This window comes from Homo sapiens, chromosome 12 (genome assembly GCF_000001405.40).
Source record: "Homo sapiens chromosome 12, GRCh38.p14 Primary Assembly".
Classification (NCBI taxonomy): domain Eukaryota; kingdom Metazoa; phylum Chordata; class Mammalia; order Primates; family Hominidae; genus Homo; species Homo sapiens.
In genome coordinates this window covers 54014018-54036808 of record NC_000012.12, presented here as the reverse complement: position 1 = coordinate 54036808, position 22791 = coordinate 54014018, and the positions used below count along the sequence as shown (strand labels likewise).

Genomic DNA, 22791 nt, shown 5'->3' with positions numbered 1-22791 from the left:
GTTACCCACCGGAGACGCCAGTGCTTCTCCACGCTTCACTGCTCACTCAATAGTTTTACTCAGCATGGAGAAAAAATTAAAATAACTCCCTGAAGAAAATTACACATTTTATTTCAGAGAGAGAGAGAGAGAGCACTGGTCTGGGTTAACTGCTGTGTGCAAGTTGAGGAGAGACAACAGGCGCCCTAACCTGGCCTGAGTGCAGTGCGAAGGGGAAGGGTGGTAGTTGTGGGCACTGTTCAATAAGCATTTGTTGAGACTGCCTATGTGCCAAGCATGGGGTGAGGAAAGGCTCTTGGGTCTTTTAAAAAATGACTGATGGGTAGCTTAGGCAGTGGGATGCAGCGAAGTTAGTCCTTATAATAAATCCAAGGAGCATCAGCATTAATAATCATAAATATTCCCCTGCCCCTCCCCAGAGCCCCTCTGCTCCCCTTTCTTCTTGGCTGCTGGTGCAATCCCTTAGCCAAGCTCCAGACCCTCACCCCACCAGTGTGGGGGGCCTAGGCTTGGCTCCAGGAAATCACCCTGTTGTGGGAGGTGGGAGAGGAAATGCAGTAAAGTTTTATGGACCCTTCCCACATTTGTTTCTACTGTAAAGTGCTTCCTCCCCCAGCCCATCCCAGGAGCCTGGAGAAGGACCTGATCCTCAGACACTACCTGAATTATCTGCCTCCTCCCACCCCCACTTTTAACCCATCCTCCCCTCCACACAAAATCCCAGAGACTGAGATAAATGATGGCAGACAGACGTGACTCCAGCACTGGTCTATGCAGCTCCTTTCCCAGTTAATTGTCCTGCATAGCCCGAGGCCCTAGAAGGTGGTGGAAACAGTCTGAACATTTCCTGCCAGGCTGATACACACTGCAGATTGTCCTCCCTGCTCCCTCTTCCCCAGTATCTTAGATACTGAGGCACACCTCCTCCAACTCTCCCAACACCCCCTTACCAAGCAATACCACCTCCCTCTAGAGGCCCTTATGAGACCAAATGGGTCCCTAGAGTGAGGGCTCAGCCCTCCCTCTATGTCCAGCAAGGCCTCTCAGGGACCACCTAGGCCCAGGAAAGATCTTCAGAGGCCCAGAAGGTCCTAAGGCTGAGCACGGTGGAGCCACTGGTTCCTGCACCGCAGCTTTGGCACACAGTGGGGGCTGCTGCCAGTCCAGAGGCCTCCTGGAGTGCAGAGGCGTGAAGGCCTTGGACAGCCACAGCATGGGAAAAGCCAGTACTCGAGGCCTAGGTGCCCTTCTCTTCCCCCAGAGGCTCTTGTTGCAGCCAAGGAACAGGAAAGGAGCTCAATTTCACCTCCCTCTACTCACTGCCCCTAGAAGCTAGAAAATTTTTTAAAGGGGTGGCTTAAAGTTTGTGGGTCTCCTTCTACATCTCACAGCCCATTTAGACAATTTTACCCAATACATGCCCCAAACAGACAGGAGCCACTGCATCTTTAGTCCTGTTCTCTCTTTATTTGATATGACAAAATATAGTTTCAGGAAGGACCCAGAGTCAATAAATAGTTGGACAACAGCAATGGGTCAGGAGGGCACAGAAATTCGTGGCAGGGACTATGGGACAGCAAAGGGCCTCTAGGACCACTTGCTGGGGTCCAGTGCCAGGAAACCCCACTAGTTGAGCTAGCTAGCAGGCTGGGGCTGCCGGCCTGAGAGGGCATGCAGCAGGCGCAGGCTGGGGAGGTTCCCGGGTTTTGGGGGGAAGAGGTTGTGGAGATAAGGTTTGGAAAGCATAGAGCAACTGTGGGGGCCCTAGGCCGATGCTCTCCTTTCATATGCAAATCATTCATAAGTGAAAATCTAGTTTAGTCGCTACAAGGAAGCACCCCGAGTCTAGGGCCAGACTCTCGCCAGCCTTTGGCTGTCTAACCCGTCCAGCCGGGAACAAAGGAGAGGGCGAGGTTAGAGGGTCCGGCGAGGGTCCTGTGGCGCGGGCCGGGCCCACCTTAACTCGGGAGGGCCGCGCTGAGGCTGGGAGCCGGAGATACGGCCCAGGCCAAGGTTCGTTCTGCGCCAGCCTGTACGCCGCAGCCCTCCGGGGAAGTCCTGCGGAGCTTGCCCTGGGCCCCGGGTACCGAGCTGAGCCGAGCTGAGGGGAGATGGGGCAGCGCCGACAGCCCCGCGGGAACCCTGGGTCGGTAGGGATGCGGAATGCCAAGGAAAAGCGCTTTTGTCTGTGGGGCCCGGGAGCCCAGTGCTCCAGCACCTGCCCCCGACCCGAAATATAGAGAGGAAAGGCGAAAAGGAAAGGCGCAGGGACAGGAACCGGCTAGGGGCGCGCTCTGCGGGCCTCCCCCGCTGCCTCTAAAGAGCCTCTTTGCTTTTCATTTTGGAATCTTTCTTCCACTTCATCCTGCGGTTCTGGAACCAGATCTTGATCTGTCTCTCATTGAGACACAAGTTGTTGGCGATCTCTATGCGCCTGCGGCGAGTGAGGTAGCGGTTAAAGTGGAATTCTTTCTCGAGTTCCAGAGTCTGGTAGCGCGTGTAACTGGTTCGGGACCGCTTGCCGTCCGTCTCTGGAACATAAACCCCACCCCAAGCCAGGAAGGGGTGAATAGCTTGCAGCGTTCCCCCGTCCCCACCCCAGCCCAGGCCCCCACCCGCGGCCGGAGGGAGAGGAGGCGAGAGCCGCAAGACAGGCCACGCGGGCCGCAGGCGGGCCAGCCCAGCCCAGCCCCGGGAGAGGCGCCTCCGCCCAGGCAGGAAACTTTCCACCGCAGCCTTCACTCTGCAGCCGGAGGGGCTGAGGGGGGGTTGGGGGGAAGAGGGAGACCCAGGCTCGGACCGAACAATAAGCACCCTCGAGATCCGAGCACCGGGGACCCCCCTCCCGCCCCTCCCGAGTCGCTGGAATCCTCCGGAGCCGCAAGCGCCGGCGGAGCCGGCTCCGCAGGGGAGGGAGGGAGGGAGCCGCGGGGGGATCCCCGCTCTGGAGCCCCGCGCTCCTCACCCTTCAGATCCCTCTATTTTTTTAACTCCCTCCCTCTCCCCCAAAAATTGAATATTGCCTTTTATACACGTTTTGTTCCTATGATCCAATTATGTCGTCGTAAATTTGGGCGCACACAGCCTCTAAGCCTTTTAGTGGACAGTTTTACGAGCCATTGATGCCTGGATCGTAAAATTTATGGCCGCAGGTTTTTTTTCTTTATTTGCCCCGCATGGCCTATAAAACCCAGGCGGACCCGAGAGCGCAAAATGAAGTCCTAAAGTTTACCGTGGCTCATGTGCAGTTTGGTCATCCACGGGTAAATCTGTGGCGGGGCCGGTGGCTGGCTCAGTCCGGCGGGCTGCCCTGTCTGCGCCTGCTCCTCTTTGATCTCCCCACTGCTCTTAGCTCGCTCCTCCAGCGCCGGGCGAGCCGCCTTCTGACTGTACATCCCGGGGTTCAGAGGAGCCGCTTCGTCTCTGCCCGGAGCGTGTCCCGGAGCGGCCGCGGCGCTGCAGGCGGGGCGGTCGGGGTGAGCCCGGGGGTTGGCAGCCATGTCTACCCCGTGGAGAGAGTTGGAAGGCGCAGGCGGTGGGAAAGTGATGCTTAAGTCCAATCCGCCGTAGCAGTACCTGGATGCCTGCACCTCTGAGGCCGATCCATAGTTCCCACAAGTTTGCATGTTATAGGCAGGGATATTGGGGCTCTGCTTATAGAATGAATTGGCTACGTAGGAGCTCATGGCGGGGAGGGCCCAAAAAAATTTCTGCACCCTTTTTGATTAAGGGTGATTTGTGACTCTTTGAAGTTGAGGGGTTTTTTGTTCTCCAAAGTGGACAATTTATAGGTGGAGATATCTCTTTCTTTATCCTATGCGCTCTTCCCAAATAAGGGAGCCTTAAATAGAGTCACGTGACTCGAGCGGCCACTCATAAATTTGGCTTGATGACCTCCGGGAGGTTAGTGATGGAAGCCGGCGAAAAGCATCTCGATATGTTGGCAAAGCCCAACCAAGGGGGAGAGGGAGTGAGAGAGAGAAAGAGGGAAGGGGGAGGGAAAAAAAAAAAAAGGTTCTTGGAATTGGGGGTAGCCGGGACAACAAGCCCACAGCGACACCTGGTGCCTATGTGGGGGAATTGCATCCTGGAGCGCCAGCTTGCTTTCCGGTGGCTGGATTTCCTACACTGTGAAGGAGAAGCTGGTTGTTGGGGCAACCCCTGAGCTAGCCTTTTAAATTCTATTTAAAATTGGGAAAAGACGAGGCCCCACTTATAACGCACAGAGTGCTTTTTGTAATGAAAGTCCCGTTCTCCCAACCTCCAGGGTCTTCCAATCTTCAAAAATGGCTGAGGAAAGGGGATTAAGTTAGGTAAGGTGGCCTATGCCCAGGCTGGAGAACCAATGGGGTTTAACTTAGGTTCCCTAAACCAAAGGTAGAAGTCCCTTGCCTCTCAGGCCCTAAGGCTCCACTACTGCTGAAGAGGTGCCTATCAGCAAGAGAAAGTAGAATTAGCTTCTGAAGAGGTAGACAGGACGCCCAGGAGGAGGGATCCTGAGTGGTCAGAACAAGATAGGGGGGTCATGAAGCTGAGGGTGTTGCAGGCTGTTTGGGATGGATCTGGAGGTGAGGAGCCAGGTGGAGTTGGCTAGACCTCACCATGCTAGGGTCCCCAGAGTGGCAACAAGGCAATTTTCAAGTGTGTGTGTGGACACGGACAGAGCCAGACAATGGTCTAGAGGACTGCTCTGTTTCCCTGTGTGCGATCCTTATGTGGTACCTATGCCAGAGGTTTTAGACAGAAAATAGATGTTAATTGAGGACATGGAGAAGCAAGATTGAAGCCTCCACAAATATTACGTGAGCATGGCAGAGGAAAAGGCCCGTTATGTGCCCTTTGGGGAAAAGGTCTCTGGGCTAGGCTTTCCAGGGACCTGAATCCATAAGGTTCACAAGAGAGCAATTTCTGAGCTACCAAGAGGAATGGGGCGGACCTGGGGGGTGGGCAGGGCAGGCGCCTGGGTAGCCTTCGCAGGGTATCTGCAGCCATTCGGCCCCATCCTCTTCCCCCGTAGCCCCAAGTCTCATACTTCCCTGCCTGCTTCTTCCCAGGAAATCTCCGCCCCGCCAGGAGAAGGCCCCCTCCTCACTGGTGGAGGCACTGGAGGCGAGGGTGGGGGCGCTGGAGGGAATCTGAAGGGCCCGGAAAACTCTGGCGGATTTTTTCCCTCCGGAGACCCTCCTCAACACCTCTCCCTGTAGGCCCACTCAGGTTTCTCTGGCCAGGCTTGGAGAGAGAAGGCCAGGGTTGATAAATGGTTAGGGTCCGGCTGCGCTCCTCACCCGCCTCTTCACCCGTTTGAGGAGAGAAAAGTAAGGAACCAGCCCGGCTGGAGCTGTAATGAAGAAGGAATTTTGTCCCGGCCACGTCAGGAGTACCAGAGCAGGCGAGAGCTCAGTTTCCAGGCTTTCTCTCTCGAGATGTCCTTGAATCGCTCAATCCCTGCCGACAGGGCTCCAGTCCCGCGGTCTTCTCTTTCCCTCCGCTCTCCGCCTCCGCTACGTTTCGCAACAGCCAGCTTGGCGCGGGCCTGGGGCTTGCTCTCACGGCGCCCCCCGCCTCCAACTCCCGGGAGTGGGTGGAGGAGACCCTGGTGCCTGGATAGTGCTTCTTTACTGGTCTTTCGGGGCGCCTCAGGGTTCGGACGCCGAGGACACCGGCTGCCACAGGCAGGAAGAAAGGCCTGCGTGGGGTTGGTGCCCAAACCGACTGATCCCAGCTCCCCCCGCAACAAAATCCTACGCGGCTTTTTCCCGCAGGGTGTGTGTGTTGCTCCGCGCAGGGAGCCCAGAGAGGCCTCCCAGCCCCTCAGTGCGATCGCGAGAACGAACAGAAGGCCGGGGCCGGGCGCCTGGGCTCCGGGGAAGGCGAGTGCAGAGGGCTGGGGGCTTGCAGGGGGCCGGCAGGCGCGGGAGCGCTTGGAGCCTGCTCCAGCTCTCACCCTGAGGCCGGCGGGCGAGCGAATTAACAGAATTCCCGGTATAAAGTTTTAAAAATAATATCAGTTTTATTAAATATTCGAGAACGGACCCAGAGGTTGGATTTATACAGGAGGGTAACACGAAGGGATTTATTTATTTATTTATTTTCTCCTACTGGCTAAACAAACGTCATTCACTTTTTTTCTCTCTTTTTGTAATTTTCCCTCTTTTTTTTCCTTTTTTGAAATTGGATAGGAACACTGACGGTGCTAAACATAAATATAAATACAGAGACCACAAATACAGCTAAAAATCTTCACACAGAAACGGTCACAGTTTGTAAAATGCCATAATGACCCCCAGGATTCTTTAAATACAATTTGCCTGGGCTGGGCATTTGCTGGGGCAGAGGGGCTAGGCAGGGACTGCGGGGAGGCCCTGGGGGTTGGTGTGGGGCCAAGGCGCGCCCTCCTTGGGCCTCCGGCCCTCCCCGGCTGCCAGGCCGGGCCCTGAGGCCCTGGAGCAGAGGCCCCAGCAGGCCCAGGAGCCGGCTCTCTGCACGGGGGGCGGGGGTGGGGGCGTCGAAGGAGTGGGGGAGCCAAGTCCTCACTTGGAGGGCAATCTGTAGAGTCTGAGTTCAGGGTCCGAGCCCCCAAGGCCTGGACGGGGAAAAGGGCCTGTAGACAAGCCGAGAACGAGCTAGCAAGGGAGCGAGGAGGAGGAGGCGCGTGGTGAAAGAGAGTTGTGCGGTGAGGGAGGGGGTCCAGAGCTGACTTTCAGGTCCACGTTTGACTCCCTAATTTTGTTTTAGGGAATCAAAACACATCAATTGTGCCAGTGATAAATACAGAGTGTGTGATTAGGGGAGAGTTGGTGGGGAGCGAGGGAGAAAGGGAGAGAGGGGTGGCAGGGACAGTCCTGGTCACTCTTTCTGCTTCTCCTCTTCTGTCTCTTCCCGCTTTTCCTCTTTTCCGCCCAGGCTGTCGGCGGTGGCCCCTCCGCCGCCCCCCGAGAGAGTGGATGTGAGATTAGATTCTTTTTTCCACTTCATCCGGCGGTTCTGGAACCAGATTTTGATCTGTCGCTCGGTCAGGCAAAGCGCGTTGGCGATCTCGATGCGCCGGCGCCGCGTTAGGTAGCGATTGAAGTGAAATTCCTTCTCCAGTTCCAGGGTCTGGTACCGCGAGTAGATCTGGCGGCCGCGCCTCCGGTCCGCTCCGTAGCCGACCCCTAAAGATCCGGGCACAAAACACACTAAAAGCAATCAGCAAAGCGTCCTCTGCAGACTGTTTCGCCTAGCAAAGTCCTGACCCTCCCAACCTGGCCAGCAGCTCACAGCCTCCTTAGGGCTCTAGCCTTCTCCCTTTTGCCTTGCCCCACCCCCACTGGGGGTACAGCGAGGACCCCAACTTCAGACCTCCTATAAGGTGGGACCTGTGTGTCCCAAAGAAAGGTGTGTGGTGGGGGGGGGGGCGGGGGGGCGGGGCAAAAGGCAAACAGAAAGCTGCAAGTCTAAAAGCAGATTTTTGAAAAATCCCAGATAATGGGGATGAGGGCCCCCTTTCTCAAGGACTGGGCTCCCCCATCTCCCCAAGCATCCTAGTTCCTTGGAAACTTCTCCCCACTTATCTGCCTCTCCTCTCCCCCTCCCTTCTCCTCAGACTGACTCCACTTTGGGGGGCTCCCCTATCTTCTGCTCCCTCCCCTCATCCCCTGCCCTGTTCCTGCCCCCTCAGCCCGCCTTGGGGCCCTCCAATCCGTCAGGGGCCAAGGGGGCCAGGCCCCTGCAAGCGAGCGAGAGGCGAGCTGAGGGGGCAGAAGAGGGGGCCCTGTCTCGGTGAGGAGACGAGCGTGATTGTTTTTATGGGGCCATAAAAAACTCTCTCCGCCCGTTCTTCTAGGGAAGCCGGTCATAAAGCCAGTTCAGTTTATTTAATTTATATCTCGGAGCTGTAAAACTCACCACTGTGCGAATTCATTCGCTGCATCCAGGGGTAAATCTGGATACTGGCTTTCTGGTCCTGGGGCGCAGTCCTGCCCTGCTCAGAACTAAAATCCTGAGCGATTGAGGTCTGTGTGTTATGTCCTAAGGTGTTTTGTCTGCAGTTTGAGAGCATGTCTTTCTCCTGGTAAAAGGAATTAGATCCATAGTCATACGGCCCCCGGCTGGAACTGAACACGACATTCTCCTGTGGCGAATAAAAGGGAGTCGAGTAGATCCGGTTCTGGGCAACGGCCGCTCCATAGGTCGAGAAATGCCTCACTGGATCATAGGCGGTGGAATTGAGGGCGACGTTGGGGAGGACGTCCTGGCCCCCGGCGAGGTGGCAGGATAAGGAAGGGTTAGTGAAGTAGGAATTCATCCCTTTGCCTTTACCTGGTCGGTCTATGATTTCTTTAATATTTATTTCTGTCTCCAGTTTGTACTCGGAACTAGATGGTTATAGGGACGGCTCCAATCCAGGACAGACAAAATGACAAAGTCAGCTGACCCCCTCCCAGCCAATCGCAAGCCAGATGTCAGGAAGGGGGAAAAAAATCGCTTCTGCTTCTGTTGATTCCCTAGTTGAGACTAAGTGTGTGCTTTGAAAGTAAGACTTGGATTTCTTTTAAAAAATATATATATATATATATATATGTAAGGGAACTGGTTTGGTGGTGAAGGAGGGGTGCATGTCCCTGAGCAGGGCCTTGGGACTCAGGGAAGGAGAGCTGTACTACCAGGAAATCTCTCAGCCCCAGCTAACTTTGCTGTGCTGTGGCCAGAGCCAGGGCTAGAGAAACCCCTGTATTTTCAATCTGGTTTCATGTTTTATATCTGCCCCCTTCTAAAATTACATCCTGATTTCTCCAAGGGAAGAACTCCCTCCCAGCACAGGAGGGGGGTCCCTAGAAATCCTGCAGGAAATCCTGTTTTGACACTCCATGGAGTGAGTCCCATCACTAAACTAGTATTTTTTTCACCAATAATTAAAAAAAAATCAAAAGTAGAAAGAAATTTCATAAAACCTGTTCCCCTGAGTAAGTAGAGTGTGGCTGAGAGTCTTGAATGTAGTAGGGATGTGGGGAACAACTAGGTCTAAAGGGGCAAGACTTCAGGGTACAGTGGCAGAGCTGGAGTGGGCAAATGGGCCACGCATCTGCTCTCCTTTGCCTCCTGGCTCCCTTCTGCCTCCTTCTCAGGACCCCTCTGTTGGGAAAACTCTTCCAGCATTTTTGCCTAAAAGGGAAAATGTATAAAAAATGCAATAGAAAAAGGAGAAAAAGAAGTAAAATGTAGGGAGGTGGCACCGGAGGGGGAAAGACAGAGAGAAAGAGAGAGAGAGGAAGAACGAAAACTCTGAGAATCTTTCTAGAGACATCAACTCCTGTTTATGTTGGTGAGAATTTATTATTTGGAGCCAGTGAGGGCCTGTGGGGTAATTCACATAGGATCCAGCCAGAAAGAGAAGGCTGGTGGGGCTCTGATGGACAGTTAGCTTCCTGCAGGCTCAAGCCCCTGCCTTGGTCAGAAGCCCCCCTGCCCCCTCCAGACTCAGGGCACCGCCAGTGGAGGCGCCCCTGGACCTGAGCTATGAGGCTTGGAGACTTCAGAAAGGGGTTCTAAGGAGCTCTCACCCAAGTGCCAGTCACCCGTGGTGGGGATGGGCCTCTCAGCAACCTCAACGCCCATTTTATTCCCCCATCTTGGGGCTAAAAAAAGGGAAGAGACGGTTACGAAAAGGCAGCTGAATCCGAGGCTTGTGAGGGAGCCGCAGTAGGCGAACTGAAACAGCGGAAAGTGTGCAGATGGGGGTTTTCTCCTGATTAGTCCAAACTTAATTTGATATCGTGATATAGGCTGAAAATGCCTTGAGTTGACAAAGAAGGGTGGTGGGGAGTGTGCGGGGAGCAGAGAAAGCTCATATCCCCCCCCCCCCACCATTTTTGGGTGGGTTGGGGGGGGGGAAAGCTGGCTATAACAAGAACCCGGATGTCGCCGGATTTTATGATCTTTTCCTTCTGTGTAACAAAGCGGAGTAATCAATGGGTAGCAATAAAGCCATAAACGGGACTATGCTGAGAAAAAACTCGTTTATTCATCTTCTGTAACGTTAAGGTTTCCCTGGAGTGTCGCTAGGGGGGAAAAATAAAGTTTCGAACCCAAAAGCAGACAGTGTGCAGGAGCTGGTGGAGACAACATGTTAGTTAATACATGAACCTCGTTAGGGGGTTGAAGAGTCTTCCTGCCAGACAATTTGTGTTGGTTTTAGAAAATACAGCCCCAATCCTCCAGAAAGGACAGAAATTTGTCGGTATTTGGAAGGGAAGGGGAAAGACTCCTATAATTATAAAGGTTCCTCCTTCTAGATCACACTTTCTTCTCCCCAAGGAAATGAAGGGGAAAGGGTAGAGGAGGATTTTTAAATTAAGAAAAAAAATTTTAGATGAGTTATCTCATTTTTGGGGTGACTTGGCAGGTACACAAACATAGACACCAATGTGAGTTGCTTTTTGCCCTAGAATCCAGCTGTCCTCGAATTCATGGCATGCCTGAGCAGAGGTTTCCAACAGCTGGCTGAGGCTTCAGGCCCCCTGGAGGGCAAGAGGTGGGGGAGAGACAACAAGGCAGGAGTACTCTGGGGACTGAGCTAGGGAACAAGTCAGTGCACCCCTGGACACAAGTAGCCTCTCTCAGAGTTCCCAGCCTCCTTTCTGCCCTAAGGGTAGTGGTGTAACAAGTAGAAGAGGCCGGAAGAGAGAGTAACTCTGTCCCCCCCTCCAATTTCAGAGAGAGATTGCTAGAGGGATAAATCATGTCAGTGATATTTCCTTCAAGATATTAAATTGTTGCAATGTACAACAAATTGAATGATGGAAGATAGGATGTCTTAATGAGGTTTCACTTTCAATGAGTGTTGATTTTCTATGTATTTAAAAATCTCTTTTATGTCTGGGTGGGGGAGGGAAGGACCTTGGAAGAAAGAAGGGGCTTCTGGGGCAGCATGGACTACAGCCCCCAGCAAGGATGCCTAGGTTTCCTTGAGCCCCTCCTCAACCATGTCTGGAGAGGAAAGGGGCCCCAAAGTTGGGGAGATTCTCTATTGGGGCCTAAAGTCGGTGGGCTCAGGGAGGTTGGCGACCTGAGAGGCAGAATGTGAGCCTCAGCCCCAGAAAGTTAAGTGTTTTATGACGTCCCTAAACAGAGGGCAGAGACTGAAAGGTCTCGCCGATTTATAATGAACAGAAACCAGCTGCTGGGTGAAAAAGGCAGAAATGCTGGAAGGGGGAGAGAAGGGGAAACAGAAATACAAATAAATTCCTCCACTGCTTAAAGACCTTTGGCAAAATTAATTTTCAACACCTCCCCCCCCCCCAATTACCTTTCATTCCTGAGGAAAGAAGAAGCCCTCTTCTTTCTCTTAGATCTTTAATTATGCAGCTGAAATTTGCTGAAAGGATTCGCTCCAAGGGGGGAGAGCAGGTCAGATGAGCCCGATCTTCCCTACATTGGATTATATTTTCTTTTTCCCATTTCATGTTAATTTTATTTTTTTGGCAAAAGAATGGCTGTCTATAGGGGGAAAGCTGGGACTTAGATTTTTCTAAATATATTTATATTTTCCTGTTAAATTTGTCTGAAAACAATTATGGAAACTCATCAGCAGAAGCAAGAACAGATGTTTTATTAAAACTGCAGTTGTGCTCTGTAAATATGCACAAGTCTTGGGAAGGAGGGGAGAGAACTTGTTCTTTGTTTCTATAAAACGAGCCTAAAGAAATCAGAGAACACTACCCCCCAACCCCATCAGGCTTGCAGGTCTCCTTGCTACTGCTCTGGCCCCTTAGCCTCCCAAATCAGGCATTCGGAAGGGGCTTGGTGTCAAGAGCAGATTTTCACTTTCAGAGAAGCTTTAATTAGTGGATTCAAAAACAGAATTCAAAAAACACAGAAAAAGAATACAAGGGAAAAATTGCCACTTGCTTCTCCAGTCCTCTCCAATGCAAAACACATGCTTTTGATAGCGCTAATTATAGGAGAGAAATTTACTGCCTGCGCCTTGGACCTGAGTGGGGTGCAGTCACTGGCCTGGAGTCCCCAAGGATAAGGGTGGCATTGCAGCCTGGGCACTTGGGGATTTCCCTAGGCAAGTTAAATGCTACCACTCCAGCCTTACTCCCCTTTAGGCCAGGGAAAGGCTGGGGGCATGTGAGCTCTGAACTGGGGAAAGGGTGGGTGGGACTGGACCCAGCCTGAAGAAGTTCGTGGGCAGGCCTCACCTTGCTGGCCTTTGCTTTCCACTCAGCTCTGGGAAATATATTAATTTCCTGGGGAGGGATATTTGAAGTGAGAGGGATGAGATCTGGAATTTTTATTTGGGGACAATATTTTCCAGAGGTCCTCCTTAGTTGTGTTCTCCCTGTCTCCTCTCTCTCCCCAGATCCCCTAACTCTGCGCGGATGTTTGTAACTCACCAACCCTCGCACACAGATACACATACTCCATTCCTGACTGCCGCGCTGCAACTACAGCTCGGTGCCTCCTGAGGCTGCTCGGGGACCCAAGCACTGGAGCCTCAGGACTCAGTGCTCAGCCTCAGCGCCTGGCCTGGGTGCTCAGCTGCCTGGACGCGACCGCAGCTGCCCGACCCTGCCCCCACCACCCCCAAGTCTCACTTTTCTGAGCAAGAGAAGAACGGTTGCCCCGCTGGCCCCTTTTGTGCCACTGGGCGAGGGCTAAAATCCCTCTTACGGAGAAAGCCGAGTTTCAGTAATTGCTCAGCTCCCCTCATAATCACACTATTTGGTTAAGGCTTTGCTGTTCTGGAGCGACTGCTCAGTTGGCCCGATTGGTCTATGATTAGACTTTTTTATTTAGAAATTAAAAAATAAATTCTACTCCAAATGCCTGGTGTTTTGTGTATAAATAAGCTCCTTTGATCTCCATGGAACTCCTAGTCAAAGGATCAGATCGCAAAGAGCCTCCTGGTCTGCCAGAGAACCTGAATGCAGGGAATGCTGTTTGGGAACACCAAAGCATGGCTCACCTAAGGGGCTTCCAGTTTCCCATAGATATGATGGGGGAAGCTGTCTGAGCACATACCTGCCCCCGCTACACACACCGCATTCCAAAAAGGTACACTCCTCCTTTCAAAGTTTAGGCATGGAGAGAAGTGAAATTTGACACACCTAACACAGAAATGGATATCATTTGGGGGTGCTAATATTTTGGGGACAGGGCCCGGGCTGACCAGTTGAAGGGAGCTGGGGATCAGCAGGGAGGGGGAAAGGAGGAAGAGGGCAGATTGGGCATGTTAAGCTGCTGAGAACTGCCCCCAAACACCTCCAAGGCCTGCGCTGGTGATTCCTCTTTTGAGCTAAGAGGTTGAGAGGCTACCCGAGCTGCTTTTGCTTTATTACAATTAAACGGAGAAGAAAGGTATATGGAAGGGCTCTGCTAACTCATGTCACATTTCCTCTCCTCCCTCTCTCTTTCCAGATTTCTGCCTGACCTTTCCTTACCAGCACTTCACTTATTGCTGCTACCATCAGCAGATACAAACTCTCACATTGGCATTTGTTTGGCTTCTCAATTCACTTCTCTGACTTAAGGTTAAAACGTAAAATAGGTCCCAAACATCTCTACCCCATCACGCTCAGCCCTGAGCCCCCTTCCAGCTCCATCTGGAAAAAATCATTTCTGGCTTTTTGGGGGCTGGTGCCCAAGCCTCCCACCTCTATTCCAAGCAGCTGAGTATTAGCTGAGGAGGGGGCTTGGGGAGAGCCTGGGGACACAGCTCTCTGTGATCTGGGAATGGGGAGAGAGCTTAGATGCCTAGGGACACTTGAGGGGGGCAAAGCAAGTGGCCCTGCTTGGCCCAGGAGAAAAATTAAAATGCAGAATATCCAGAATATTTTCAGCCCCCAGAATAGGGCCTCAAGAGGATGTCACATGAGGAAGAAGCCGCAATAGGGGGTGTGCTGCTCTGCACTGGGTCAAAGGATCCCCAGCCTCCTGGCTTCTTCTATACCCCTCCACATGAAGCACTGCTTGGACCCATTTGAGAGGTTCATGAGAATTATAAAATTCAAGAACTCGGTATTATGACATCACAGTGAGTTGTCATATAGAAATTGTAAATGTCCTACCAGTTATACATGGCAGGAGTTTTGTGTGTGGGTTCCTGCCCTCCTTTCATGTTTTTTCCTTTCCCCCTCTTTCTCCCCCTGGTCTAACCTCTCCTGCTTGAAAATAAAATGTTGTTATGTTCTGGAACAATATGCCAACAATAAAACAGCATCCTCATTTCCCTATAAATAATTTTATCCTTTATTGTTTGCAGATCTGAAAGAACCATTTAATCTGTGCTGGCAAAAAGAGAGAGAGAGAGACTGGGAGGGGAAAATTAATTTCAGAAATGAGAATATTACTTACTTCAATGATACTCTTTTAAATTTAATAGCTAGCAGCAAAATTAAAGGCCAAAAGCCAACTATCTGACTCTACACCTGGCAGGATTGGAGACATATAGGATCTTTAGCAAAGGGGCAATTTAATTTTGTAGGATTTGCTTAAATTCACTGCAATTTTGGGGGGCTGAGGAGAGGGAGTGTGGGAGAAGAATGACATGCTATATCTAGCTTTATGAATCCACCAACATTACCCTGATTTAAAACCCAACAACCTGTGTCTCAGGGAAACTCCTGCAGAAAGGAGTGGGGTAGTGGGGGACTGGGTTGATGGGGGTGGGCTCAACTTTCTCAATGAGTGTGGCCCCCTTAACCAAGTGGTCACCAGGGGAAGGAAGAAAAGCCTAGGCAAGGGAAGGGCTGCTCAGAAGTCTGTCCACCACAGGGACACCCAGAGGTTTATGGTGTCCCCATAATTCCCCTGACCCTATAAACAGCTGCCCTGTTTTAAGACTATTTCTGCTTCCTCCCCTCCGAAAGGGAGAATGCAGGAGCTTGTGAGGGCAGGAGGGGGTTGCTGGAAAGGGGAGGGAGTCCGGGGATAGCACAGCACTTTGTTCTCCTGGGCGAGTTCGCTGGTTTGGCGGGTTTCTGACGCAGGGTGGCAGCAGACAAAACAAGTAAACAACTCACAGACACAATAAACAGGAGCGGCTGCGGCGCCGTGGCAGAGGCCGTGGGCTGGGCGAGGGGCACAATCCTGGAGTAATGTCACCCCAGTGCCTGGGGTGACCAAGGCCCAGAAAGCCTAAGGCTGCCCTCCTTGAAGGGCGGGAGGAAGGTGGAAGAAAGCTGCACACCTCTTGGTGCAGCCTGTCTGGACAAGAGTCTTGGGAGGAACCCGATCACCTAGAGAGAGTAGCGGAAAACCCCTCCAGCCCCGCTCTGGTCCCTGCTTTCTTTTATGGGGTTTTCCACTGACATTGATATTTCCCCTCTGCTCTGTCTTTTTGTGTCTCTGGAAGGGAAAAAGGCTGGGAAAGGAGGCCCATCAATTCTCAGCCTTGGTAGCCCATACTCAGTGCTCCAGGCCACAGGCAGCGGGTCCAGCGTCCTCTCCCGTGCTGCCCGGACCAGCCGTCTCCCTGACCAGGTCTTGTCCTGGCTCAGATAGCGACGAGGATTAAAACGCAGTTCATCCAGTAACCAGATCTGGGTATTTGGGGGACCTTAGAGAACTCCCAATCTGCCGCCACGGATGCAGGCAAATCGGGCTGGGGCGGGGTGAGCGGCCGGCTGGGGCAAGCAGGGGGAGAAACAGATATTCACTGCATCCCTACCCCTTTTGGCTTGCCTTTTCCACAAGCTTCTCCAAGCACCCTGGCCAGCAGCTGCCCCAGATCACTGTCCAGAGGCCACCTTATTAACCACTCTGATCCCTTCATCGCTCCAGTGAGGCTTCCAGCGCCAGGGCCCTGACTACTCCGAACTGCTTGCAGCCCCACCATGCCCGTGAAAAGAATCCCGCAGAACTCAATTTCAAGACAACTGGTCTCCCTTGTAAAATAATTTCTAAGTTGGGAGAGTTTGCCAGGAGGTGTGGAGAGAAAGCAGAAGGGATTTAGTATTTCCCCAGTCCAGCTGCTTGGGCAACAAAAGCAATAAGGTCTGAGAAAGCCTTTATGGCATCCATTGGTTACTGGAACCCGCATACTCCGATTCCAGTGAGCACATATTTCCAGCAGAGCATGCACAGAGGGCCTGCTCAGTGCACCCGGTGCCTCCATGAGCCCACTCTCATCTAGTGAGGACTAACAAAATTTTGCATGAACATAAAATGGTGTTTGAGCGAATATAGGCATGGTAATATACAATTAACCACCAAGGAAATATGAGTCTGTATATATTCATGCATAAGCCTGAGTCTGTATATTTAAGCCTGTATATAATAAATATATAACACTCCCAAGCCTGGTTTCAGAACACAGCCAACCCAACAAGGTCGCCTTCTCCAAACAAGGTCGCATTCTGTCGGGATCACAACTGTCAGACCAGGGTGAGAAAGGGTTTGCTCTGCCCAATTCTCCTTAGCTAGGAACCAGCACATGAAATACAGCGGATGGCAGGGCTGACAAAGCCCCTTATAAGGGGGGCAGGCAAGCCTAAGGGTGCCCAAAGAGTGGGCTCAGAGGGGGAGGCTCCAAGGAATGTTGCCAGGCCCTGACCCACAGATTCAGTGTCTCTGCCCCGGGTGTGCAGAGTCCTTGAGCCAGATTCTATTCTCAGCCACCCTGGCTATTATTAGATAATCACAGAAGGGCTCTCCTGCAGGAAGGACCACGTCAGCAGGGAATGTGGCCTGCAAGGAGGCTTAGAGTTGCCACTGGTGGGTCCTCTTGTGCTTCTGTTTGAATGCCAGAGAGGGAGAGAAAGAAGGAGAAGGGAAAGAAAATCGAAAGTAACTGGGAAGCAGAGAGTTGGTGTTGGAGTCCACTGGGGTCCAGTTTATCCCCTGGCCAGAGTGGAAAATGAAAACAGAGCGCCGGTCGCTGCTGCTATGCCTTCTCTGCTTGCCTCTGTCTTGTAAGGATGGGTCTAGGGGTGAAGGGCATAGGATGGGGGTGGGGGAGCTGCAGGGCTGTAGCCAGGAAGGGACAGAAAATCAATTAAAATATTATATAAAGACACCTCAGGATGGTGCTGTTAAGCGGCCAACCTCGAACTCTAGCACCTCCAAATCTCGCTGTGGGTACACTCAGTGAGGTCGTTCTAGGATTAAGAGAAATACCTCAGCCTCGCCCAGGCCCGCCCCTCGGGTGGGAGGGGGCCCTTCTAATATTCTAGGTGAATCTCCACTGGCCTGAATGGCCTTCTCTGGAAAAGGTTTTCTTTCGGGGACGGACAAAGGACACTTGTGTTCCCCCCCATCAGCGGCCATCCACAGGGGCGGGGGCGGACAAAATGCAGGCGAAAGAGAGAAATAGAGGCCTCACCGGTCGGCGATTCCCACATTACTCCAGGAGAAAGGCTCCCTTTTTCGGGCCTCTCGGGCCCCTCTTGTGTCCCACCGCACTCCCTTTGCCCTTTTCAGGTCCCACAGACTCCGGGTTCCGGCCTGCCGCAGGCTGGATCCGCGGGGCATCAGCCACTGGGCCGTGCCTGAGCGGCGGGAGAGCGCGCGGCAGCCTGAGCAGGCGGCGGGCTGGGCCCATTTGGGGAGAGCCAAGCGCTTTTCTCGATCGTAAACAAGGAAAGCGAAATTAGCCCCTCGTCAGACGCCTCTGCCGACACACAAGTCCTACTGGGGGTGGGGGGGTGGGGGAGGGGGAGAGAAAATGCCATTTCTTCCCGCGGGAGAATACCTCAGAGGCCTTTATGATGGCTGCGAAAGGGGAATTTAGCGGGGGCAGAAAAGGAAGGGAAGGGGGTTGTGGGGGGAGGGGAGATAAAATTCACCGTCAGCTCTGGCCCAAACGGTTTGATCTGAATGCAAACTGTATTTTTAAAAATTTGATAAAAACAGGTTTCTTCCCCCATCCCCGCCCCCCCACAGGCGACGGGTCAGGGTTTAAACAGGAAATCGTGGAGCGATCCCCTCCCCCACTGGGACTTGGCGCAGAATCCCAGTCGCGCCTCTGGGAGAGGGTGGGGGTAGAGGGGGTGTCTTGGCTTAGATTAAGGTAAGTCTGGCCCCCAGGTTCTCTCGGACCTCGTCTGGAATATGTTCCCCCACGCCTCCGGGTGTGTCTGCCTGGGTGTGTAGGCGTTTGCGTGTGCGTCGCCGTTTATAAACAGAAATTCACACTTATGGGGCCGCCTCGGAGCCTCGGACCCAGGCCGGGGAGCAGGGCGGGGTCATATATCAAACTGCAACACATTCAGGGCCACGTACATTTGGAAGAAATTAAGCCACTGTGTTATGAAACCATATGCGTCGGGTTAAGACTATACAACAGGCCATTAGCACCAATTATTAGAGAGATCCCGAGTGCCCAGGACCCTCCCGCCGCCCCAGGCTGACGCCTCTACCCCATAAGCCAGCAGCCCCCGGAATCCTCACTGCCTCCACAGCACCTAGGAGACTCTACCAGGAGGACTGGGCCTGTCCCCGCCCAGCCTAGGGCCTTCCCCATTTCCACCTCCCCCCGAGGCGAGGCAGGTCCTAGCCCAGAGCAGCCATGCGTGGCGAGCGGGCATCCCGGTCCAGTGGGCATCCCGGCTGGGATGGCCGCGGCTGGGGGTGAGGGGCGCCGGACCCCGGAAGGGAAAGCCGGTAGGCCTCTTTTCTCTGAGCACAAGATGGCTTTTGAGTACAGCATCCCCCACCCCCACCCTACAACCTCCACCCTCCACCCAACGCAGGGCACCTCCCACCCTTCCATCCGCCCGAGTGGGGGCGGGAGCAGGGGGTGGGCAGACGCTCTCCTCTCGGCTGACGCGCACCAGCCACCAGCCTCCCCCCTAATTGCCAATTAACAGGCCCCGCCGGCCGCCTAGCTGCGCCGGCTTCCTGCTCGGCGGCCCGGCCCTGGGCCCACACTGCGCATGTGTGAGCTCTAGCAGTCGCGCTCTCTGGGAGGGAGGGGGCTGCCAGACAGGGAGGGGAAGCTGGAAAGTTTGTTTGGGGGTTGGGGGGCTAACTTTGCTTAGGGGGCAATGGGCACAGCCTCTAAGTTCTCTCTCCTGCCTGGAGCTTGAGCTTCCAGTTCCGCTCCGACCCAGTTCCATTAGCCAAGAGACCGAAGATCTATAATAAGCAGGTACTGACACAGTGGGCAGCAGAGAGCTGGCGCCCTAGACCGCCGGCTTGAGCCCCACAGGTGCTGTTCCCTTGCCTCCCCACCCCCAACTTGGCACACAGTGACATCAGGACAACACAATCGCCCCACTACCAGTTACCGGTATTCCAGTTTAACCCCGTTTCTCTCCCCCCGCCAATTTTCCTCCCCATAATTAACTACGCGCCCACCCTCTCGCCAGCCCCCTCTTCTCCCTAACCAAGAGAAGCCGCTGCTGTCCTATTCTTGAAACCGCCACGGACCATTAGTTACATATTTGAACCAATAAGGAAACACTTACCGAGCGCTGCTGTCACTCTCCCTCTCTCCCTCTCTGCCTCTCTCTCTCCCACTCTCTTTCTCGTCTTCCCTCATTCTGTGCCGCTGCCGAGCCTGTCTCAGCTCCACACACACACACATATACTTTATATAAATTCAAAAATAAAAATAATTATAATCATCCAAAAGCCAAACAAAATTAAGGAGAGTTGCAAGAAGGGGGCAGGAGGAAGAGCCTGGGAGAGAGGAGGGGCGGAGGCATCTGCAGCTCCCAAGCTCAACTCCTGCTCCTGCATTCCTCCTGCCCCTTGGGGGCCAGAGGGTCGGGAAGGAAGAGAGAGATGCCCTCAACTTCTGTCTCTCCCCTCCCATCCCCACCCTCCCCAGCTGCCCCCAGCTTCGGCAACTCCACCTGGGAGGAAAAAAAATTAAATGGGGGAAAAATAATTATTAATCAGATTAATTTAAAAAAAATACTGCTAATGAAGGGAGCGCCCAGGGCAGGTTTCCCTGGCAATGGTTAGGCTCTTACAGGGAGGACTGTTCTGCGGAGCGCTCGGAACGGACAAACCACAATAAAAAGTTCACGTTCATGGATGGAATCCACATGACTTCTTGTGGCCAATCCAACTTGTGAGTCGATCGTAAACTTTTATTACTCAGCTGTAAATTTTCTGCAAACAACCGGGAATGCGATGCATTTGTGTAGCGTGTGCAAATGGGCGCCGCGGTCGCCATGTTTACCCAATTCTCTCATAGAGGGAGCATCCCCGGACCCCCACCCCACCCCTACCCCCACCCACCGCCCACTCCCCACGGGCCAGGCTGCTGCAGGCGAGCGCAGAAAGAGCTGAGGGCGGACGCCCAGGCGAAAGAAAGCTTCAAGCACTGAGGGTCGGTTGCCTCTCCTGGCTTGCCGAGTTTTAAATATTGTCCTTAATAAATGGGGGCATTAAGGTTGGATCAGGCGGAATTCAAAGCTTTGCAAAGATTTGTGGCCTTGAGGCAGTGATGGCTGGTGAATTGCAGGGATTGAAAGGGTGCCTCCCTACCCCTACCTTTTTTTTTTTTTTTTTTTTTTAGTAAGAGAACAACATCCCCTCTATGCCGTACCCCTGAAAGCTCCTACTCCACCCTAGACAGGAACAGTAGTGGAAGACCACTGGCAGCCACCCAACCAAACCTGACCTGGAGTGGTCTGAAGAACCTAGGGGACTAGACCTACCCTGGGCAATCCTGCAGTGCAGCAGGAGAGGTGAGAATTGGGGTCAACTTCTAGGACCCTCAAAACGACCCACATCCCCGGGGTCCCTTTCTTAGAGAGAATGACATTTTCCCCCAAGACCATCCCTAGTTTCCCTTCCCAGTTCAAATGGTGGCTTATTTGAAATCTTTTTACAATTAAAAATAAAATTAAAGCCCAAGATCTTGGTCTCTACTTCCTTTTTGCGGGGAGGGGTGCAAGGCAGTAAGCCTTTTGGATCGTGTCAGATTGCCCATACCCACCTGCCTTTCTCAGAAAAATTTCCTGATTCAATGTCTGGGCAGCTGGGATGTACTACCGAGGCCTGAAAAAATAACCTTTTACTGCCCTGAATTCCACCTTCTGTGCTAAAATTTCGAGCAGCCTGTTTTTCCAGACCCCTAATTTTGAAGGTGAGTCCAGAATAAATTCCCCCATAGAGACTATTTGCCGGGGGAGGGGTTGCAGGCAGGTCACTCTCCCCACGGGCTCGAGATTTGAAGGCCGGCATCTCTCCACTTGGTCCCGCATCAAGCTGGCATGGGAATCTCAATGGTTGGGTGCCTCAACCCTGACCAAGAGGGGATACCTCATGCCTTCCCCAGACTTCCTCCATAGTAAGAAAAGCAGTTCCCTAGGCCGGATGCAGGGACCTCGTTTCTTTTCACAAACCCACCCATAAATTTTATAACAGGTAGTTAAAAATTACGACAAGGAAGCGCTGGCCCAGCTTTTCACAATGGGCAGCGGGGAGAATGGGACGGCGCTGCGGGCAGCTCACCGGAAATTTTACTTCTAGACTGTGGCACAACCTGTCCTGAATTCTCCCTAATTGGGCGGGGTAACTTTCCCAGCCAGCAGGCAGTCATTAGGGCATCTTATCTGGGGAAGATAAGACTGGGGAGACCAAACCACTCGCCTATCCAAGGGTCCCTCAAGGAGCCCTTCAGGACGCTCACTACCTCTCTCACCCACCCCCAGATCTCTTGCAGGTCCGCACCTTCCTTGGCTGATGCAATGAGGGAGTGGGGAGGAAAAAAAATTTAATCCAGAGAAACGAATTTGCCCCCCAACTTAATAGCTGCATTATTCCAGCTCTACGGTTGAGATTAGAATAATAAATTCAAGGAGCAATGAGCGAGATGCTTCAACTCAGCATTTTGAAAGATACTATTTTTCACAAATCACAAATGGCTTTCGGAAGCCACTTTGATTGGCTAATAAAAAAGTAAAGAATGGGAGAGAAAGTCCTATCTGCAGCAGCCGAATGGTCCCCATTCCGGTAATGGGACGGCGGGAGCATTTGGGAGGACGCGATTCTAAAGAGAGCGCATCCCGCTCACAATTACGTTCCCCCATAAAACGGGTTTTTACCTCCATTTCTTTCCAAACGAGAAAACAGAGGCGGTGGGCAGGAGGGGTGGGGGAGCGGGTACTGCATGAGGGGGTGGCTGGGGCTCCCTCGGCTTAGCCCTCTCCATGCCTGGCATCTCGAGTAAAGCCGGGCGCCAGACGCACCCCGCCCTCCGACGCGCCGGGCTTGGGGCCACGGACATTGCTGAACAGGACAAGGGATAAATGGCACATTTGGTGTGGGGAAAAGGCGGCGAGGCCCTTCGGAGCCATTTAATGCTGGGTTCATTCCGCTAGGCTACTGGGCCAGATATTTTTATTAATAGCAATCATAATTCCACGTTTAAAAACGAAACGGGACCTCAGCCATCCCTCGGAGTATGGAGGACACGCCTGTGGGAAGGCCTGAGGTCTGAGCGAAATGGCCTCTTTTCTGGCTTCCCTGGTGGGTAGCCGGTGTCTCCCACTGAGAACAGGTTACCTGGCTGGTGCCGCTGCTCACAGCAGGGACCCCAGGTTAGAGAAGATTTCCCGGAGCTCCTGCTCAAAGCTGCCCCAGCTGCCTGCAGCCTGTGCTTCCAATTCACAGCCTTTCTCGGACTGCAGGAGTCCCCCTGTGAAGGAAGCCCGACTCAATTCTCTACTCAGGCCCGATTTTCAGGCCCGGTTTGCGTGGGGACCAGTGACTGGGACCTGGGTGAAATTCCACAAAACAAGAGTTGGCCTGGGCCTAGGTCTGGGAAAATCATTGACCAGGAGCTAGACAGATGAGGGGTGGGGAGGACAGAGAGAGAGAGAGAGAGAGAGAGAGAGAGAGAGAGAG

At 53.0% G+C, this 22791-nt stretch overlaps 3 protein-coding genes, 1 long non-coding RNA gene and 1 other non-coding gene across 7 annotated transcripts in view, besides 9 other annotated features; 1 reads left to right on the top strand and 4 right to left on the bottom strand.

The window, feature by feature from the left end:
• The window catches only part of HOXC4 (homeobox C4), a 39143-nt gene extending 19222 nt beyond the window's left edge, over positions 1 to 19921 (bottom strand). Inside the window, exon 1 of the mRNA NM_014620.6 lies at positions 19395 to 19921. The gene's annotated coding sequence lies outside the window, so the exon portion shown is untranslated. The remainder of the gene's footprint in view (positions 1 to 19394) is intronic.
• On the bottom strand, positions 1448 to 19921 carry HOXC5 (homeobox C5). 2 transcript variants are annotated; one of them, NR_003084.3, is made up of 2 exons: positions 19395 to 19921; positions 1448 to 2531 (listed from the first exon to the last, which is right to left on the bottom strand). NR_003084.3 is itself a non-coding variant. In NM_018953.4 (2 exons), the coding sequence occupies exons 1-2, from the start codon at positions 3684 to 3686 to the stop codon at positions 2317 to 2319; spliced, it is 669 nt and encodes a 222-aa protein (NP_061826.1). In that variant the 5' UTR covers positions 3687 to 3759; the 3' UTR covers positions 1448 to 2316. The 2 variants fall into 2 exon arrangements, 1 of the variants encoding a protein (NP_061826.1); NM_018953.4 differs by lacking the exon at positions 19395 to 19921 and adding an exon at positions 3233 to 3759.
• Positions 2661 to 2720: a silencer, noted in NCBI's record as "silent region_4523". NCBI's record gives its function as "represses an Ori minimal core promoter by ATAC-STARR-seq in GM12878 lymphoblastoid cells {active_cell/tissue: GM12878}" and the evidence as "EXISTENCE:reporter gene assay evidence [ECO:0000049][PMID:35858748]".
• MIR615 (microRNA 615) lies at positions 2764 to 2859 on the bottom strand. The gene has a single exon (NR_030753.1). It is a non-coding gene; the product is annotated as a microRNA 615 (primary transcript).
• Positions 2804 to 3955: an enhancer, noted in NCBI's record as "VISTA enhancer hs1875". NCBI's record gives its function as "enhancer in: neural tube[4/7]" and the evidence as "EXISTENCE:transgenic organism evidence [ECO:0001131][PMID:17130149]".
• Positions 3950 to 4244: an enhancer, noted in NCBI's record as "tiled region #5451; K562 Activating DNase matched - State 12:CtcfO". NCBI's record gives its function as "activates a minimal TATA promoter and a strong SV40 promoter by Sharpr-MPRA in K562 cells {active_cell/tissue: K562}" and the evidence as "EXISTENCE:reporter gene assay evidence [ECO:0000049][PMID:27701403]".
• Positions 5986 to 19921, bottom strand: HOXC6 (homeobox C6). Of its 2 annotated transcripts, NM_153693.5 has the most exons (3): positions 19395 to 19921; positions 7888 to 8233; positions 5986 to 7154 (listed from the first exon to the last, which is right to left on the bottom strand). In NM_153693.5, exons 2-3 carry the CDS (start codon positions 8039 to 8041, stop codon positions 6847 to 6849), a joined length of 462 nt encoding a protein of 153 aa, NP_710160.1. In that variant the 5' UTR covers positions 8042 to 8233; positions 19395 to 19921; the 3' UTR covers positions 5986 to 6846. The 2 variants fall into 2 exon arrangements, with proteins under 2 accessions (NP_710160.1, NP_004494.1); NM_004503.4 differs by lacking the exon at positions 19395 to 19921 and having other exon boundaries at positions 7888 to 8369.
• Positions 14871 to 15080: an enhancer, noted in NCBI's record as "active region_6433". NCBI's record gives its function as "activates an Ori minimal core promoter by ATAC-STARR-seq in GM12878 lymphoblastoid cells {active_cell/tissue: GM12878}" and the evidence as "EXISTENCE:reporter gene assay evidence [ECO:0000049][PMID:35858748]".
• Positions 15148 to 18355: an enhancer, noted in NCBI's record as "VISTA enhancer hs2078". NCBI's record gives its function as "enhancer in: heart[4/6]" and the evidence as "EXISTENCE:transgenic organism evidence [ECO:0001131][PMID:17130149]".
• Positions 15148 to 18356: a biological region, named in NCBI's record as "VISTA enhancer hs2078".
• Positions 18287 to 18356: an enhancer, noted in NCBI's record as "active region_6432". NCBI's record gives its function as "activates an Ori minimal core promoter by ATAC-STARR-seq in GM12878 lymphoblastoid cells {active_cell/tissue: GM12878}" and the evidence as "EXISTENCE:reporter gene assay evidence [ECO:0000049][PMID:35858748]".
• Positions 18397 to 18666: a silencer, noted in NCBI's record as "silent region_4522". NCBI's record gives its function as "represses an Ori minimal core promoter by ATAC-STARR-seq in GM12878 lymphoblastoid cells {active_cell/tissue: GM12878}" and the evidence as "EXISTENCE:reporter gene assay evidence [ECO:0000049][PMID:35858748]".
• Positions 18737 to 18906: a silencer, noted in NCBI's record as "silent region_4521". NCBI's record gives its function as "represses an Ori minimal core promoter by ATAC-STARR-seq in GM12878 lymphoblastoid cells {active_cell/tissue: GM12878}" and the evidence as "EXISTENCE:reporter gene assay evidence [ECO:0000049][PMID:35858748]".
• On the top strand, positions 19062 to 20796 carry LOC124902939 (uncharacterized). The gene is made up of 2 exons (XR_007063323.1): positions 19062 to 20005; positions 20456 to 20796. It is a non-coding gene; the product is annotated as an uncharacterized LOC124902939 (long non-coding RNA).

Coding starts and splice junctions, on each gene's coding strand:
- HOXC5 (NM_018953.4), bottom strand. CDS start 3,686: ATGAGCTCCTACGTAGCCAATTCATTCTATAAGCAGAGCCCCAATATC. Junction 2,532..3,232: donor CAAACTGCACATGAGCCACG/GTAAACTTTAGG, acceptor TTTATGTTCCAG/AGACGGACGGCAAGCGGTCC.
- HOXC6 (NM_004503.4), bottom strand. CDS start 8,287: ATGAATTCCTACTTCACTAACCCTTCCTTATCCTGCCACCTCGCCGGG. Junction 7,155..7,887: donor GCGAATGAATTCGCACAGTG/GTGAGTTTTACA, acceptor CCGGATCTTTAG/GGGTCGGCTACGGAGCGGAC.